We start from the raw sequence: 14,296 nt of genomic DNA, 5'->3' as shown, positions 1-14,296 counted from the left end.
CATAAAACATACTAAGTAGATTTATAGTCCTCCCTCTTTTTAAATAAATTCCTAAATGTCTTCACGTGGTCTATTTTATGTGAGTTTCACAAAATCCTGGAAGATAACAGAAGTAGACTATTTTACACATGGCAATACTAATACAATACTGAGGCTCAGAGATAACAAATTACCTGATCAAATTCATTCCAAAAAAAAAAAAAGTTGCAATTTACTAAGTTGCTACCATGTGCCTTGATTGGCAGTTCCCAGTATTAGTGCCTGGAGTGACTGTCCACAATTCTGACAATTCTGAACATAGCACATGTCCACGGGCACTTCCCAACTGCCACTGTACTACCAAGTGAGATCAAACCCTCCTGCCCCTCAGCTCCTTAGAAGAATTGCAGCTTGTCTGAAGATACTGGAAGTACTAGAGCATGCTGCCTAAATTGCTTCAGTCTGTAAATACTTCAATATTGGTAGGCATCTCAGAGCCAGCTCAGTGACCTCACATAAGACAGGTCAGAATCAGCTTAGAGGAGCTAGCCCCATGCTTCACACAAATAGGTTCACGTCAGTTTCCCAAGCATAGCTTTCACAGAACACTGGTGCCTGGGATTTTGACTTAGTGTTTGTGAGGCAAAACAGCATCAGTGTTTTCCTAGACACTCCCCAGGTCAACCTAATGTGTGATGGAGAAACATCAACCCCAGAATGGTGGTCCCAGCCTCATGCGCTACCTAGGGCTTGCCATTTCTGTCCTTCACTCCTCCTAGAGCACATCTGCCTCTGGGAGTTTCTCTCATGCACGCTTCCTTCATGAAATCAGAGACACAAGATCAGTGTGATAGTAAACCTACAGATTTCTGTTTCTCAGCATAAAGGAATAACAGGGACTAGATTTACTCTCCTTTCTACAATAAGAACATAGGAAAAATACACGAATGATGTGTTTTAGACTTTGGACAACAGGCAGTACAAGAGAGTCATCTGTAATAGACAGGAAACAAACATTTGAGCTTACGAGGGCCCCAGCTCACTGCCTAGAGAAAGCTTCCAGACCACAGCCTAAGAAAGGAGATTGAGATAAGACCTGGTGGCCTAATGAACTGAGGACACAAAGCCCAGAGTTCCAGGAGTTCGGTAAAGCTAGACGTTATGGAGCAGGGTGTTGGAGAGGAGGTGCTTCACAGAAGACCTGAGCTCTAGAGACCTGCAGCACAGTCCTATGGGACCTTTAGCTCAATACTTATCTGTGTAAAAATGTGAGTGTGAAATGAACAAACACTAAATAATCACACGTCAAAATTCATAGAACGCATGCAAGGAAGTGCTAAGAGGAAATTTATGGCATTTTCCATAACCCAGGAACTCTCATAACCTGCCAAAAGATATCTGCCAAATGATATCTATGAGAAACTGACAAGTAACATACTGAATGGATGAATACTGAACACTTTTCCCCTTAGATCTAGAACCCAGGCAGAGATTTAATCTCTCACACTTCTAGTCATCATTTTACTGGCAGTCCTAGCCAGTGTAACAAGGTAGGAAAAGGAAATAAAAGCAGTAAAAATCAGAAATTAGTAAGTAAAACTGGCTTGATTTGCAGATAAAATGAACAGCTATGTAGAAAATCCTAAGAAATGTATGGAAAAACTACAAAATCAATAAAACAGTTCAGCAAATTTGTAGGATAAAAAGTCAATTTACAAAAATAAATAATATTTCTGTATACTAACAATTGGAAATAGTAAGTTAAAAATTCATAACACATTTTGAATAATCTTAAAAATATAATCTCAGTGATAAACTTTAAAAAATATGTGATATTGGTAAAAATTTAAAATACCTAAATAAAGAGATCTACACGCAAATACACTTAATGTTACTAACATGCCAATTCTCCCAAAATTGATGTATAGAGTTAATGCAATCTTAATATTCTAAGTGGATTTTCTGCAGAAATCGTCAAACTTATTCTAAAATTTATATTGAAACATAAGTAATCTAGAATAGCCAAAACAATTTTAAAGAGGAAGAAAATCTGAAGACTTAAACGACCTGATTTTAAGTCTTTTTAAAAGTTACAGTAATCAAGACTGTAATAATGTTGCAAAGGTAGTCAAATAGATCAATGGAACAGAATAGAGTCCAGAAACAGACCCATCCATCAGTAGCAAATTCATTTTCAATAAAAGTGCAAGTAAAAGCAACTCCATGGAGACAATCACCATTTCAACATAACATGAACAAACTGGACATCCACATACCAGCAGAAATGATCCTTGATCTTTACTTTATACCATCTACAAAATTTAACATGAACTGTATTACAGAGCTAAATGTGCAAATTAAAACTACAAAATTTCTAGAAACAAACAAAATAAAGCTTAATGACCTTGGCTGAGACAAAACTTTCTTAAATAGAGTATGACAGTCAAAATCACAAAAGAAAAAAGTTGATAAATTAGACTTGGTGAAAATTAAAAGACTCGGCTCTTCAAAAGGCACTATTAAGATTGTTAAAGAAATGACAGCAAGCCACATATTGGAATAAGCTATCTGAAAAACATTTATTTGACAGTATATATTTAGAGATCTTACAATTCAATAATAGGAAGGCAATGTCCAATAATAAACTGGTCAAGGAGCTGGGTGATCCTTTTGTCAGTGAAGTTACAGGTGGCAAATAAATACACAAAAAGATACTCATCATTTGTCACAATCTGCCAGTTTCTAATAACGTTAAACATAAACTTATCATATGACCAGTAATTCTACTAAATATTTTGCTAAAAGAATAAAAATTTTCACAGAATTGCCTATGCATGAGTGTTCATAGCTTTATTCAAATTAGCTAAGAACAGGAAACAACCCAAATGTCCATCAACTGTTGAATGGATCAACACGCTGAGTTATGTCCATATAACGAAATTCTACATAATAATAACAAAGAATTGAACTACTGATAAGCATGCAACAACACGGATGAATCTTGAAGGTATTGTACTGAGAAGGAGGCCAGACCCAAATGATAGGTACTCCATGATTCCATTTATATGAAATTCTAGAAAGGGACTTAACCACAGTGTTAGAAAGCAGAGCACTGATTTCCAAGGGCTGGGGTGTAAAGGAATGGACTGACTGTAAAAAGATAGAGGGAAGCTGTTTTTAAGGATGAAATTGTTTTGTATCATAATCGTGCTTACATGACTACACATTTTTTCAAAGCTCATTAAACTGCACTCTTAAATTAGAGAATGTGAATGAATGCATACTGTATCTCAATAAAGAGGACACAAAAAAGTATAGAAAAATTTAAGAAAGAGAGGGAGAGCAGTAGAATATGAACTTACTGTGCAATGAAGGAAAACAATCTCAGGGGAAAGTCCAGTCACCAAGGTATCCTGACTTAGGTAACTTTCTGTCAAAGTTTTGGGGAATATGATGTGATTTAATGAGTTTATCTCTGAAATATGATGCATCTGTTAGAAGCAAAGTTCAAGTAACACTATTAAAGCTTAAAAGCAAAGAAAGTAATTTTAAAAATAAGCAATAGGATGAGAAATTTATCCCAAAAAGCCGCTCTTCTGTTAAAGCAGCTCGAACAAAACTGTCAAAATCACCCTCCTCAGAACTCTGCAAAATAACCAAAGGCTTACAAGAATCTGAGGAGTATTTATTCAAGAAAAAAAAAATGGCTGAATCTTAGCCAGGACAGGAGCTACACCACTTGGGAGCTATACTCACCACCTGGGAGAGATTTGTGTCATTCTAACGTGGCAAGGTACCAACCTTCTCCCTCTAGTTCATCAGGTTAAACATGGAGTTACCACATGACTCAGGAATTCCACTCTTAGATATCTACCCAAGAGAAACAAAAACATGTCCACACAAAAGCACGTACACAAATATTCATAGTAGCACTACTCATAATAGCCACAAAGTGGAAAGAACCCCAATGTCCACCATTGATCAACAGATAAATAAAATGTGGTAAATACACCCAATGGGATGGCTCAGTCATAAAAAGCAATGAAGTACTGACATGCTACTACATGAATGAACCTTGAAAACATCACGCTGTGTGAAAGAAGCCAGCCATGAAAGATGACACCATGTACGATTCCACTTATATGGAATGATAGTTGCGCGGAATGATAGTTGTTTTTGGTTATACTACAGCGATGGCTATTTAGGAATACACGGAGGCATGAGGGTCAGGCATTGAAGTTTTAGGGAGTGTCCTAGTGGGCTTAGCAATGGAAGTGGCATTAGTTTGGTGGGTGGCAGAGTATGATGGAGTGGTGGTAGGAAATTCATAGAAACTAAAACAATAGTGGTTTTCAGGAGCTAGGGGACAGGGTAGACGGGGAATAACTGCTAATAGGTTTGAAGTTTCTCTTCTGAGGTGATAAAAATATTCTAAACTTAGGTCATGATATAGGTTGCATAGCTCTCTGGATATGCTAAAAACCAAAATATTGTAGCTTTAAAAATGTCCATTTTTCACAAAAGGTCTGATATCCACAATCTACAAGGAATTTAAAATAAACAAGCAAAAAGCAAATAACCACATTAAAAAGTGGACAAAGAATATGAACAGACATGTCTCAAAAGAAGACATACAAGCAGCCAACAAACATATGAAAAAATGCTGAACATCACTCATCATCAGGGAAATGCAAATCAAAACCACAATGACATACCGTCTCATGCACAATGAGATACCAACTCGATGGTTTTTTTAAAAAGTCAAATAACAACAAATGCTGTCAAGGCTACAGAGCAAAGCTCACACACTGTCAGTGGGAGTGTATGATAATCCCAGCCACTGTGAAGAGCAGGCTCAAAGAACTAAGAGTTGAAATACCATTCGACCCAGCAATCCCACTACTGGGTATATATCCAAAGGAAAATAAATAATTCTACCAAAAGATACGTGTATGCATATGTTCCTTGCAGCACTACTCACAATAGCAAAAACATGGAATCAACCCAGGTGCCCACCAATGGTGAACTGGATAAAGAAAATGTGGTACATATACACCATGGAATACTACACGGCCATAAAAAAAGAATGAAACCATACCCTTTACAGATAGGACTCACTAACTCAGCTGTTTTTCTCAGAGTCCTCTATCTATATCTTTAAATTCATTATTCCTCATCTGATTCCTGTTCCTAAACTCTAGCAACCCTAGACGTGAGCTCATTAATAGTTTGTGAAAGAGAATTAAAACTATCTCGCATGCACACAGGACAAATTCCATGAAGCACCACCAACAGTGTATCACAGGCAGCTCTCAAGCTCGCAAAAGGAAATCAGAGAGAGACACTGATGTTAGGTTGGACACGAGCTTTGTAACAGCTGAACAGCCCTGTGTTCGACGAGCCAGAGAAACACCCCCGAGGTCAGCTAATGGACTAGTCACAGCAACAATGTGACAACGGACCAACTCTCCCTCCCCAATCACTACAAGGCAGGCTTGGTAATTCTACGGAGTTGTTGTAACTACTGCACTGCAAGCTGCTGTCCTGTCAGGCTGAAGTTAGATGCTCCTTGTTCATGCTCCGGCCTCTTTTCCACAGTGGCTCCTAGGAGCTCCTGGAGTTCAAACTGCAAGGCCATCTCCTTCAGAGAAACTGAGAGCTAAGTCACATATCGTGCTGAGCTTATCAGGGATGGGAAAATGCATTGGACCTGGAATATGACCCCAACTGCAAATCTAAACACAAGCCCAAAGCCACCAGCATCCCCAGCACAGGATGGGCAGTGTCATGCAGGCAGGATGAACCCTGACCACACTCTAACATTTCCCCTCACCTTTGACTACTGGATCTCTTTAGCATCTGCTTCTGACCTAGAGATTTTTTTTTTATCTTTTGTGTTTGTTTGTTTGTTTGTGAGACAGGGTCTTGCCCTGTCACTCAGACCGGAGTGCTGTGGCACCATCAGGGCACACTGCAGTCTTGACCTCCATGGGCTCAGTGATCTTCCCACCTCAGCCTCCCAAGTAGCTGGGACTACAGGCAGATGACACTAAGCTCAGCTCATTTTTCTATTTTTGGTAGAGATGGGGCTTTTCCATGTTGCTCAGGCTGGACTTGAATTTGCGAGCTCAAGTGATCTGCCTGTCTCAGCCTCCCAAAGTGCTGGGATTACAGGCATGAGCCACCACCAAGCCTGGCCAAGAGATTTCTTATTTTAAGGTAAATGAGGCTTGTCATTTTGTTCCATACTTCTACTCATAGTATTTTGTTTTTACAAGTCTCACATCCTTAAAAAGCCAACACATGTATACATATGTAACAAACCTGCACGTTGTGCACATATACTGTAAAAATTAAAGTATAATTTTTTAAAAAAAAAGGGCTATATGCAGTAAAAAAAAAAAAAAAAAAAAAAAAAAAAAAAAAGCCAACACAGGACAGACCGTTTAATTACTTCCTTCTCTGGAGCAGGAGGAGAGGAAGATGAACGGGAGAAGGGGCCAAGGCGGGAGGTAAAGGGCTGGGGAGACAGCAGAGGGAAGACGAGGGGAATGAAGACCCTTCTCTCTCTTTCACCACTGACAGCTGGTGCCTCCCCTGCAAGGGTGAGGATGCGTGTTTTCTCTTAGAAAAAGTTACTGAGTCACAAACACCAGGCCCATTTACACACACATGAACACATGCACAAACATGAACACGTGCACAAACACACAAAGCAATTGCTGACTTCGTCAGATATAGTTCAGGTCACAGCCCCATATATGTGTGTTTTTCAATCTAATCAGCTCACAATGTGAAAGATTCTCCAACAACTGAGAAGCTTTTCAACGCCACGAGAGGGGTCGCTTTCATGATTCGTCTTTGATTCCACCCTCTCCTTCATCTTCCACATCCCATCTGTCACTACGTCAGGATGATTCCTTTTACCAAGTCTCTCCATATCTACCTCTTCTTTAGAGTTCTGGCCAACCTCAAGGGTCTGAAAACTTATCAGTCTTTCTAGTGTGACTTTCTCTGTAGGGAACTTCATCATCATCAAGTTTGTGTCATCAGAAAAATTAAATGAACACCGGCCCCATCTGAAAGCAGGTAACTTTTTTTGTACAAAGCAAGCCCGTTTCCAGGTTAACAGAGCAGCTACAGGTTCTGTTACCACTCAGAGTAACAAAAATATGATGGAAATGGTGCATGGGAGATCTCCTGACCTCGTGATCCGCCTGTCTGGGCCTCGCAAAGTGCTGGGATTACAGGTGTGAGCCACCGCACAGGTGAAACCCCGTTTTTACTAAAAATACAAAAAATTAGCCAGGCGTGGTGGTGGGCGCCTGTAGTCCCAGCTACTCGGGAGGCTGAGGCAGGAGAATGGCGTGAACCCAGGAGGTGGAGCTTGCAGTGAGCTGAAATCGCGCCACTGTGCTCCAACCTGGGGGACACAGCGAGACTCCATCTCAAAAAATAAAAAATAAAATAAAAAGAATTGGTGCATGGAGAATGGTGTCATTTTCAACAGCCTGATGAAACTAAGCTATTTACACCCTTGTCTGTGTAGGATATCACTGCAGGGACCTTGGCTTCATGCTCAGTGGCCATGAGGAGCGCTGCCTAAGGAGGAACCGGAATGGTTAATGAGGGGAGGCTGGAGAAATAACCAAACATTCAAGTAGTAGATGCAGCTGACAGGCAGATGCAGAGACACCATAATATTATCTAGACTGCAAACTGGCAACCCATTCTCAAATGTGAACTAATAAAAGCATTAACAAGCATATGCTCTCGATTATTTCAGAAAATAAATATTATGAGATACACTGGATAAGAGCCACGGTTACACACCAAGGAAACTCTGGCTGACAGATAAAGCACTGTATTGTATGAGGAAACTAATAGAGCAGAAATTATTAATAGGTTTGTCACAATTAACCAAAGTCTGAATTCTGAGAGAAAGAAAGGAAGGAAGGAAGGAAGGAAGGAAGGAAGGAAGAAAGGAAGGAAGGAAGGAAGGGAAAAGAAATGAAAGAAAGAAAGAGAGAAAGAAAGAAAAAGAAAGAAAGAAAGAAAGAAAGAAAGGAAAAGAAAAGAAGGGAAAGAAAGGGAAGAAAGAAAAAAAGGAAAGGAAAGGAAAGGGAAAAGGAAAAGGAAAAGGAAAAGGAAAAGGAAAGGAAAGGAAAGGAAAGGAAAGGAAAGGAAAGGAAAGGAAAGGAGCCACGGAGAAGAATGTGGAGCATCAGAGCCAAGCCAGCTCTCATGCAACCTGCTACAGATTCTCGCCAGGCATCTCACAGACACGAAACCCTGTCATGATGAAGAAATCACCACAGGATGTTGGCGCCGGTGGCCCAACCAGCCTACTGTTCCTGGAATATATGTGAGGACACTGAGACCTCTGAGCAGCTGTCATGCCCCTACATCTCCCAGGTAGTGGGTGCAGACTTGGGGTTTGGAGCCAGGCCTCCTGGATCCCAGGGTGGAAACACTGGCATCCCAGGAACACATTTTCACGGAGCCCTGGTGTGCCCAGGTAGATGGCCAGTGCTGCTAGGAGACATGAAGCGGTAGCGTCTCCAGAACCTGTGGTATTTTCAGAAACGCCAACAAGAGATGAATGAGACACACGTTTTCCAGAAAATGCATTACATTTCAACAACTCTGGAGCAGGTGAACTTTTGTTTGAAGACCTGAAACTCAGGCTGGGCACAGTGGCTCACGCCTGTAATCTCAGCACTTTGGGAGGCCGAGGCAGGTGGATCACTTGAGGTCAGGAGTTCGAGATCAGCTTGATCAACATGGTGAAACCCCGTCTGTACTAAAAATACAAAAATTGGCCAGGCGTGGTGGGGGGTGTCTGCAATCCTAGCTACTCAGGAGGCTGAGGCAGGAGAATCACTTGAGCCCGGGAGATGGAGATTGCAGTGAGCTGAGATCGCACCACTGCAATCCAGGTTGGGCAACAGAGTGAGACTCCATCTCATAAATAAATAAATAAAAGGTAAAAAGACCTGAAAGTCAGTACAAGTTCAGGAAGCAGTAGACGACCTGATGCTGTGTCCTCATCAGTCACCTCTGCTGCAAGGGCTCAGCCAAGTCTCAGAGCTCAACCAGGCCTCGTGCACTGTGCATGCTTTACAGCAGCAGTCCCCAAATTTTCTGGCACCAGGGGCTGGTTTTGTGGAAGACAGTTTGTCCATGGATGGGACACGGGGTGGGGATGGCTTCGGGATGAAACTGTTCCACCTCAGATATTAGGCATCAGATTCTCATAAGGAGCATGCAACCCAGATCTCTTGCACATGCAGTTCACAATAGGGTTCCCACTCCTATGAGAATCGAATGCCACCTCTGATCTGACAGGAGGTGGGGCTTGGGCAGTCATGCTCACTCACCTGCTGCTCACCTCCTGTGCAGCCCTGTTCCTCACAGGCTGTAGACACATATTGATTCACAGCCCAGGGGTTGGGGACTTCTGCTTTACAGGAAAGAGTACCTGGGTGCTCTGTGTCAGATGGTGGCCTCTTGAAGCGGGATGCTTTTTCCAGCCACCCTAGGAGCACTAAATACCAGTGAGACAACCTGGGCACCTTCTCCAGGTTTTCTCGGGTTTTTTACTTTGGTGCTTCCTTCCTCTTGCTATGAAGGAGCAAGACGAGGGAGAAATCATCTACACTAAAGCCCCCATAGTGCCTGGCACGTGGCAGGTGCTCGGGAAACCGAGGGGTGGCAAAGCTCCTTATGAGCGTGGCCACTCAACTCCCCTACCCTTGGACTTTACTCTGTTCTTTCTTTTCACCTCTTCTGCCTCACCTTCCCTCCTACCCTCACATTAGCTTCCCTTTTACTCTCATTTTCTACTTTTCCATATGGTATATTCCTTGAAACAATGAGGGTTCTTAGGAGGTTGTCTTAGCTCAGGGGTCTTTAATAAATGTATAGAAAATAGTACAAACCCTTTAGAGAATACAAATGAAGGAACAGTTAATTTAGTCTTCGTAGGAGAGTCAAAAAGGCCCCAAAATAGAAAACACATTGGAATTGGGTCTTGAAGGATGTGTATTAGCGTGTGAAGCATCAAAATGAAGGAAGAGCATTCCAAGAATAAACAACATAAATGAAGGTATGGAAATGAGAAATGTCATGTTACATTCAAGAAACTGCTACAGTCTTATACTGCTAAAATGTAGAGTATTTGTGGGGTGGGAAGGTGGTGTCTGAAGGTGATTCTTAGGCTTCTAGATGGTTCCACATGGGTGGATGATAGTACCAGTAACCAAGACATGAAACACAGAGAAACAAGAACATTTGGAGGAGCAAATAATGTGTTGGCTTCTTGACAGGTTTACTTCCTGAGCATCGGGTCTCTGTGGGCTTCATCTAGAAACGTTTGTTAGGAAGTTCCAAAATAAAAACCCAGCTCACGTAAGGGGCTGGGACCGACTGTACGGCATGATGGTGGGTGGTTGTGACACCAAGGAGTAGACAACATAAATCACACAGTGACCATATGATCTTAGATTGTTAACCAGAAACGTCAATATTGAAAGTTCAGGCAGAGGAAGAGAAGCACAAAAGACGAGAACTTGAAAACTTTGCAGAGAAGGCAAGGAAGGCTATTACCACAGGAGCGAAGGAGGAAGTGAGCTTCAGAAAGGAAGAAGGAGTCACTAGCATCAGATTCTGCAGACAGTATCAAATAGGATAAGGATTTAAAATAGGCCATTGGAGTACAAAGAAACACCGTTTCACAGGACTAGTCTTCAAAACTATTATCTCCTGGCACCTCACTTCCCTTCCAGTGCTTTACTTTTGGAGAGCTAGTCATCCATTCAGGCTCTTGTAAGATAAAGTCTTCTGGAGAAGCATTCATGCTGCCTTTATCCTGCCTCCAGAACAAGACAGCCTTTCCCAGCAAAGTGATGCCACCGCCATTTCTTTCCCCCCAGCTCTGCTCTCCTCTGCAGTGTAGTCTGTGCTCCCACAGTAAACAAATCAGCCACAAGAGGGGACATATAATGGCTGTGTGTGTGCTCTAGCACAGGGGTCCCCAACTTGAGCCATGAATGATGGCTTCATCTGTACTTACAGCCGCTCCCCATCGCTCGCATTACTGCCTGAGCTCTGCCTCCCGTCAGATCAGCTGCAGCATCAGATCCTCATAGGAGTGCAAACCCTACTGTGAACTGAGGGATCTAGGTTGTCAGCTCCTTATGAGAATCCAATGCCTGATGATCTGTCACTGTCTCCCATCATCCCCAGATGCGACTGTCTAGTTGCAGGAAAACAAGTTCAGGGCTCCCACTGATTCTATATTATGGGGAGTTGTACAGTTATTTCATTATACGTTACAATGTAATAAGAATAAGAAATAAAGTGCACAATAAGTGCAATGTGCTTGAATCATCCTGAAACCATCCCACCCCACCCCACTCCCCGGTCCATGGAAAAATTGTCTTCCATGAAACCAGTCCCTGGTGCCAAAAAGTCTGGGGACTGCTGCTGTAGCAGGTCACAGATAAACTCACAGACAGCAGCGAGGGAAGCTCTTTGAAAAGAGCGTGCTCTCCATAAACCTAGAATCACACGATCTGTGCCTCTGCCCACTCTGCCTACACAGAAGACTGGCCCTGGTAAAAAAAAATAAAATAAAAAAATGAGGAAAAAGGACATGAACCATCTACCAACTTCTCATAGGAGCTTAGGCAGCTGGCATGAGGCTTGAACTCACAGCTTGTGGATTCCTGCCACAGGTTCCACCTGGCTAGGGAGTTCCTGCCTGAACCATGATGAGAGACCTAGATAAATGCCAAACACCATTGTTCTTAACAGTGGCTGGGCATCGGCTCCTCTCACCTTCCCAGATCATCTCTTTTTATTCTGAGACTTCTTAAAAATAGCTCAGAGCAATTTTCAAAGCCTAATAATCATAAAAGAAGGTGTTAGGGATAATCACATGTATGGAAGCCCAAAGCCGGGCATGGCTTTCCAGCTGCCTCATTAACATACCTGCCATGCCCAATGTCAGAAGCACTGCCATCCTTCCCCACACATGGGCCTTTAGGAAGGTTGGAGAACAGTCCTCCCTTTGGACAGCCAACTGTGAAACACTGGGCTTTTTCCTGAGGGGACAGCAAAGGAAAAGGTACTCATGTCCTCAGGCAGTGATATAATCCTAGATCACCCAGTGACACAGCAGGGGAGCAATCAACTCATTGTCCCCACACAGTATGAGGGCACCTGGAGAAATCACACACAAATATGCACACACACACACGCATGCACACACATTCACACACACATGCACACGCATGTACACACATACACACCCGCACACACATGCACACACACACGTGCACACACAGACAGGCTGCTAAGCTGAGCTGGGCTGGGGTCCAACAGATGACCAGTCAGCTCAGTGAAGGAAATATTGTATTTCCTATGAAAAAATAAAGTTCGGTATCACTCACTCTTTCCAGCTTTCACCTTCCCTCACATATCAACCATCCCTAATCTTTTGCAGGAAGGTGAAGAGCACATTCCTACAGCTTTTTCCTACAAGCATTTTTCCTGGCTCACTTGGGGTGCGGCTATTAAGAATGTGACCAATGTGTTTTTGTCCAACTAAAACTAGGCCTTTGAATTATAAAATTATGCGTACACAAGGAAGTCAACTGGAGAGGATTGACTCCAATTTTAAAGAAGTTCTACTGTGGGTAAAATGTTATAAAATAGCATGACGTGCCACAGAGAACCTTTTATGAAAGTAAGAGTCAATCAGTGGGGCAAACCTCACTGTTGTCTTATTTTAAGAAATGGCCACAGGTACCCCAAACTTCATAAAGTTTTACTTTATGATATCAGATATCTAAGTGATATCAGATATCTAAGTGATTAGAGTTTGATCACACACCTCATTTGCTTGATTTGGCTCCAAATGGTTTTTTACTCTTTTCAAAAAGCAACACTGATATTGAACTTAGGCCAGCTAATCAACCAACAATAGCTTCAAAGTGTCAAAGTGAAAGGAAGAGTCACACATCTCTCACTTTAAATAAAAAAAAAAATTAGAAATGATTATGCTGAGTGAGGAAGGCATGTTGAAAGCTGAGATCGGCTGAAAGCTAGGCCTCTTGTGCTAAACAGTTAGCCAAGTTGTGAGTGCAAAGGCAAAGTTCTTGAAGGAAATTAAAAGTGCTACTCCAGTGAACACATGAATGATAAGAAAGCAAAACAGCCTTATTGCTGACATGAAGAAACTTTGAGTGGTCTGCATAGAAGGTGAAACCAGCCACCACATTCCCTTAAGACAAAGCCTAATCCAGGGCAAGGCCCTACCTCTCTTCAATTCAATTCTATGGAGGCTGAGAAAAATGAGGAAGCTGCAGAAGAAAAGCTGGAAGCTAGCAAAGATTGGCTCATGAGGTTTAAGGAGCAAAACCATCTCCATAACATAGTGCAAGGTGAAGCAGCAAGTGCTGATGGAGAAGCTGCACAAGAAAAAGTTCACAATTTGGCTTTCCACCTGAAATGTCTGCAGGTAATGTCTCCTTTATCATCTCAAGAAGTCATATCCTTCTCCTAAGAATGCAATTAGGGGACTCCTAGTTTGAGTCCCTCCAAAATAGGTGGACCCTAGAGGGATTCTACACTTACTGAGCAAGGGAGATTCAACCCACAGGTGAGCACCAGGACACCTGGGGTTCATTTAGGACCCATTAGTAACGAGCATGCTATGTGCCAGGGAAAGAGGCACTGCAGAAAAATTCTGTGGTGCTGAAGTCAGAAGCCCCAGCCTTCCCTGCTATTTATACAACAGAAAAAAAAAAGTCCTGACTTATTGTTATTGTCATTCTCTTTCCCTTAGTGACCAGAAGCATCGGATGGGAACGGAGAGGAGGCCAGGTTCTTGGCCTGCCTTTGAAATATGTCATAATTAATTTTTGCCACCAAATGCCTCTCATTAGAAAATCTCTGCACTCATCTCAGCAGGTGAAGTGATGTATCCCCTCAACGGCGTGCTCTGCCAAGCAGGTAAAGATTATTACTACAAGCAGGGGGTGTGGGAAGGTGCATACTGAGCAGACTGTGTTCCAAGCGCTTGCCAAGCAGTTCTTGAGGGTTTTTTTAATGTCTGTGTTCGCAGGTGCTGAGCTGAGGCCCTGAAGGAACAGAAGGCCTCTCTCTACACACCCCAGGAAACAGGCCAGATGTTCAGGGAGAAATAGCAATGGGCTTTCAGGGATTGGAGCCAAGAGAGCTGATTTTGTTGTAGTGTCTGTTCCTGCTGTCCTCCAGCCCCAGCCATGGGGCAATGATAAAGAGGGCTGTA

At 42.5% G+C, this 14,296-nt stretch overlaps 1 protein-coding gene across 8 annotated transcripts in view; it reads right to left on the bottom strand.

Moving 5' to 3' along the window:
• DPP6 (dipeptidyl peptidase like 6) overlaps positions 1 to 14,296 on the bottom strand; it is a 1,146,153-nt gene that overhangs the window by 921,326 nt on the left and 210,531 nt on the right. The window lies entirely within an intron of this gene.

The sequence above is a fragment of the Homo sapiens genome, chromosome 7 (genome assembly GCF_000001405.40).
Source record: "Homo sapiens chromosome 7, GRCh38.p14 Primary Assembly".
In the NCBI taxonomy this organism is placed as follows: Eukaryota; Metazoa; Chordata; class Mammalia; order Primates; family Hominidae; genus Homo; species Homo sapiens.
This window is presented reverse-complemented; position numbering and strand designations above follow the sequence as displayed.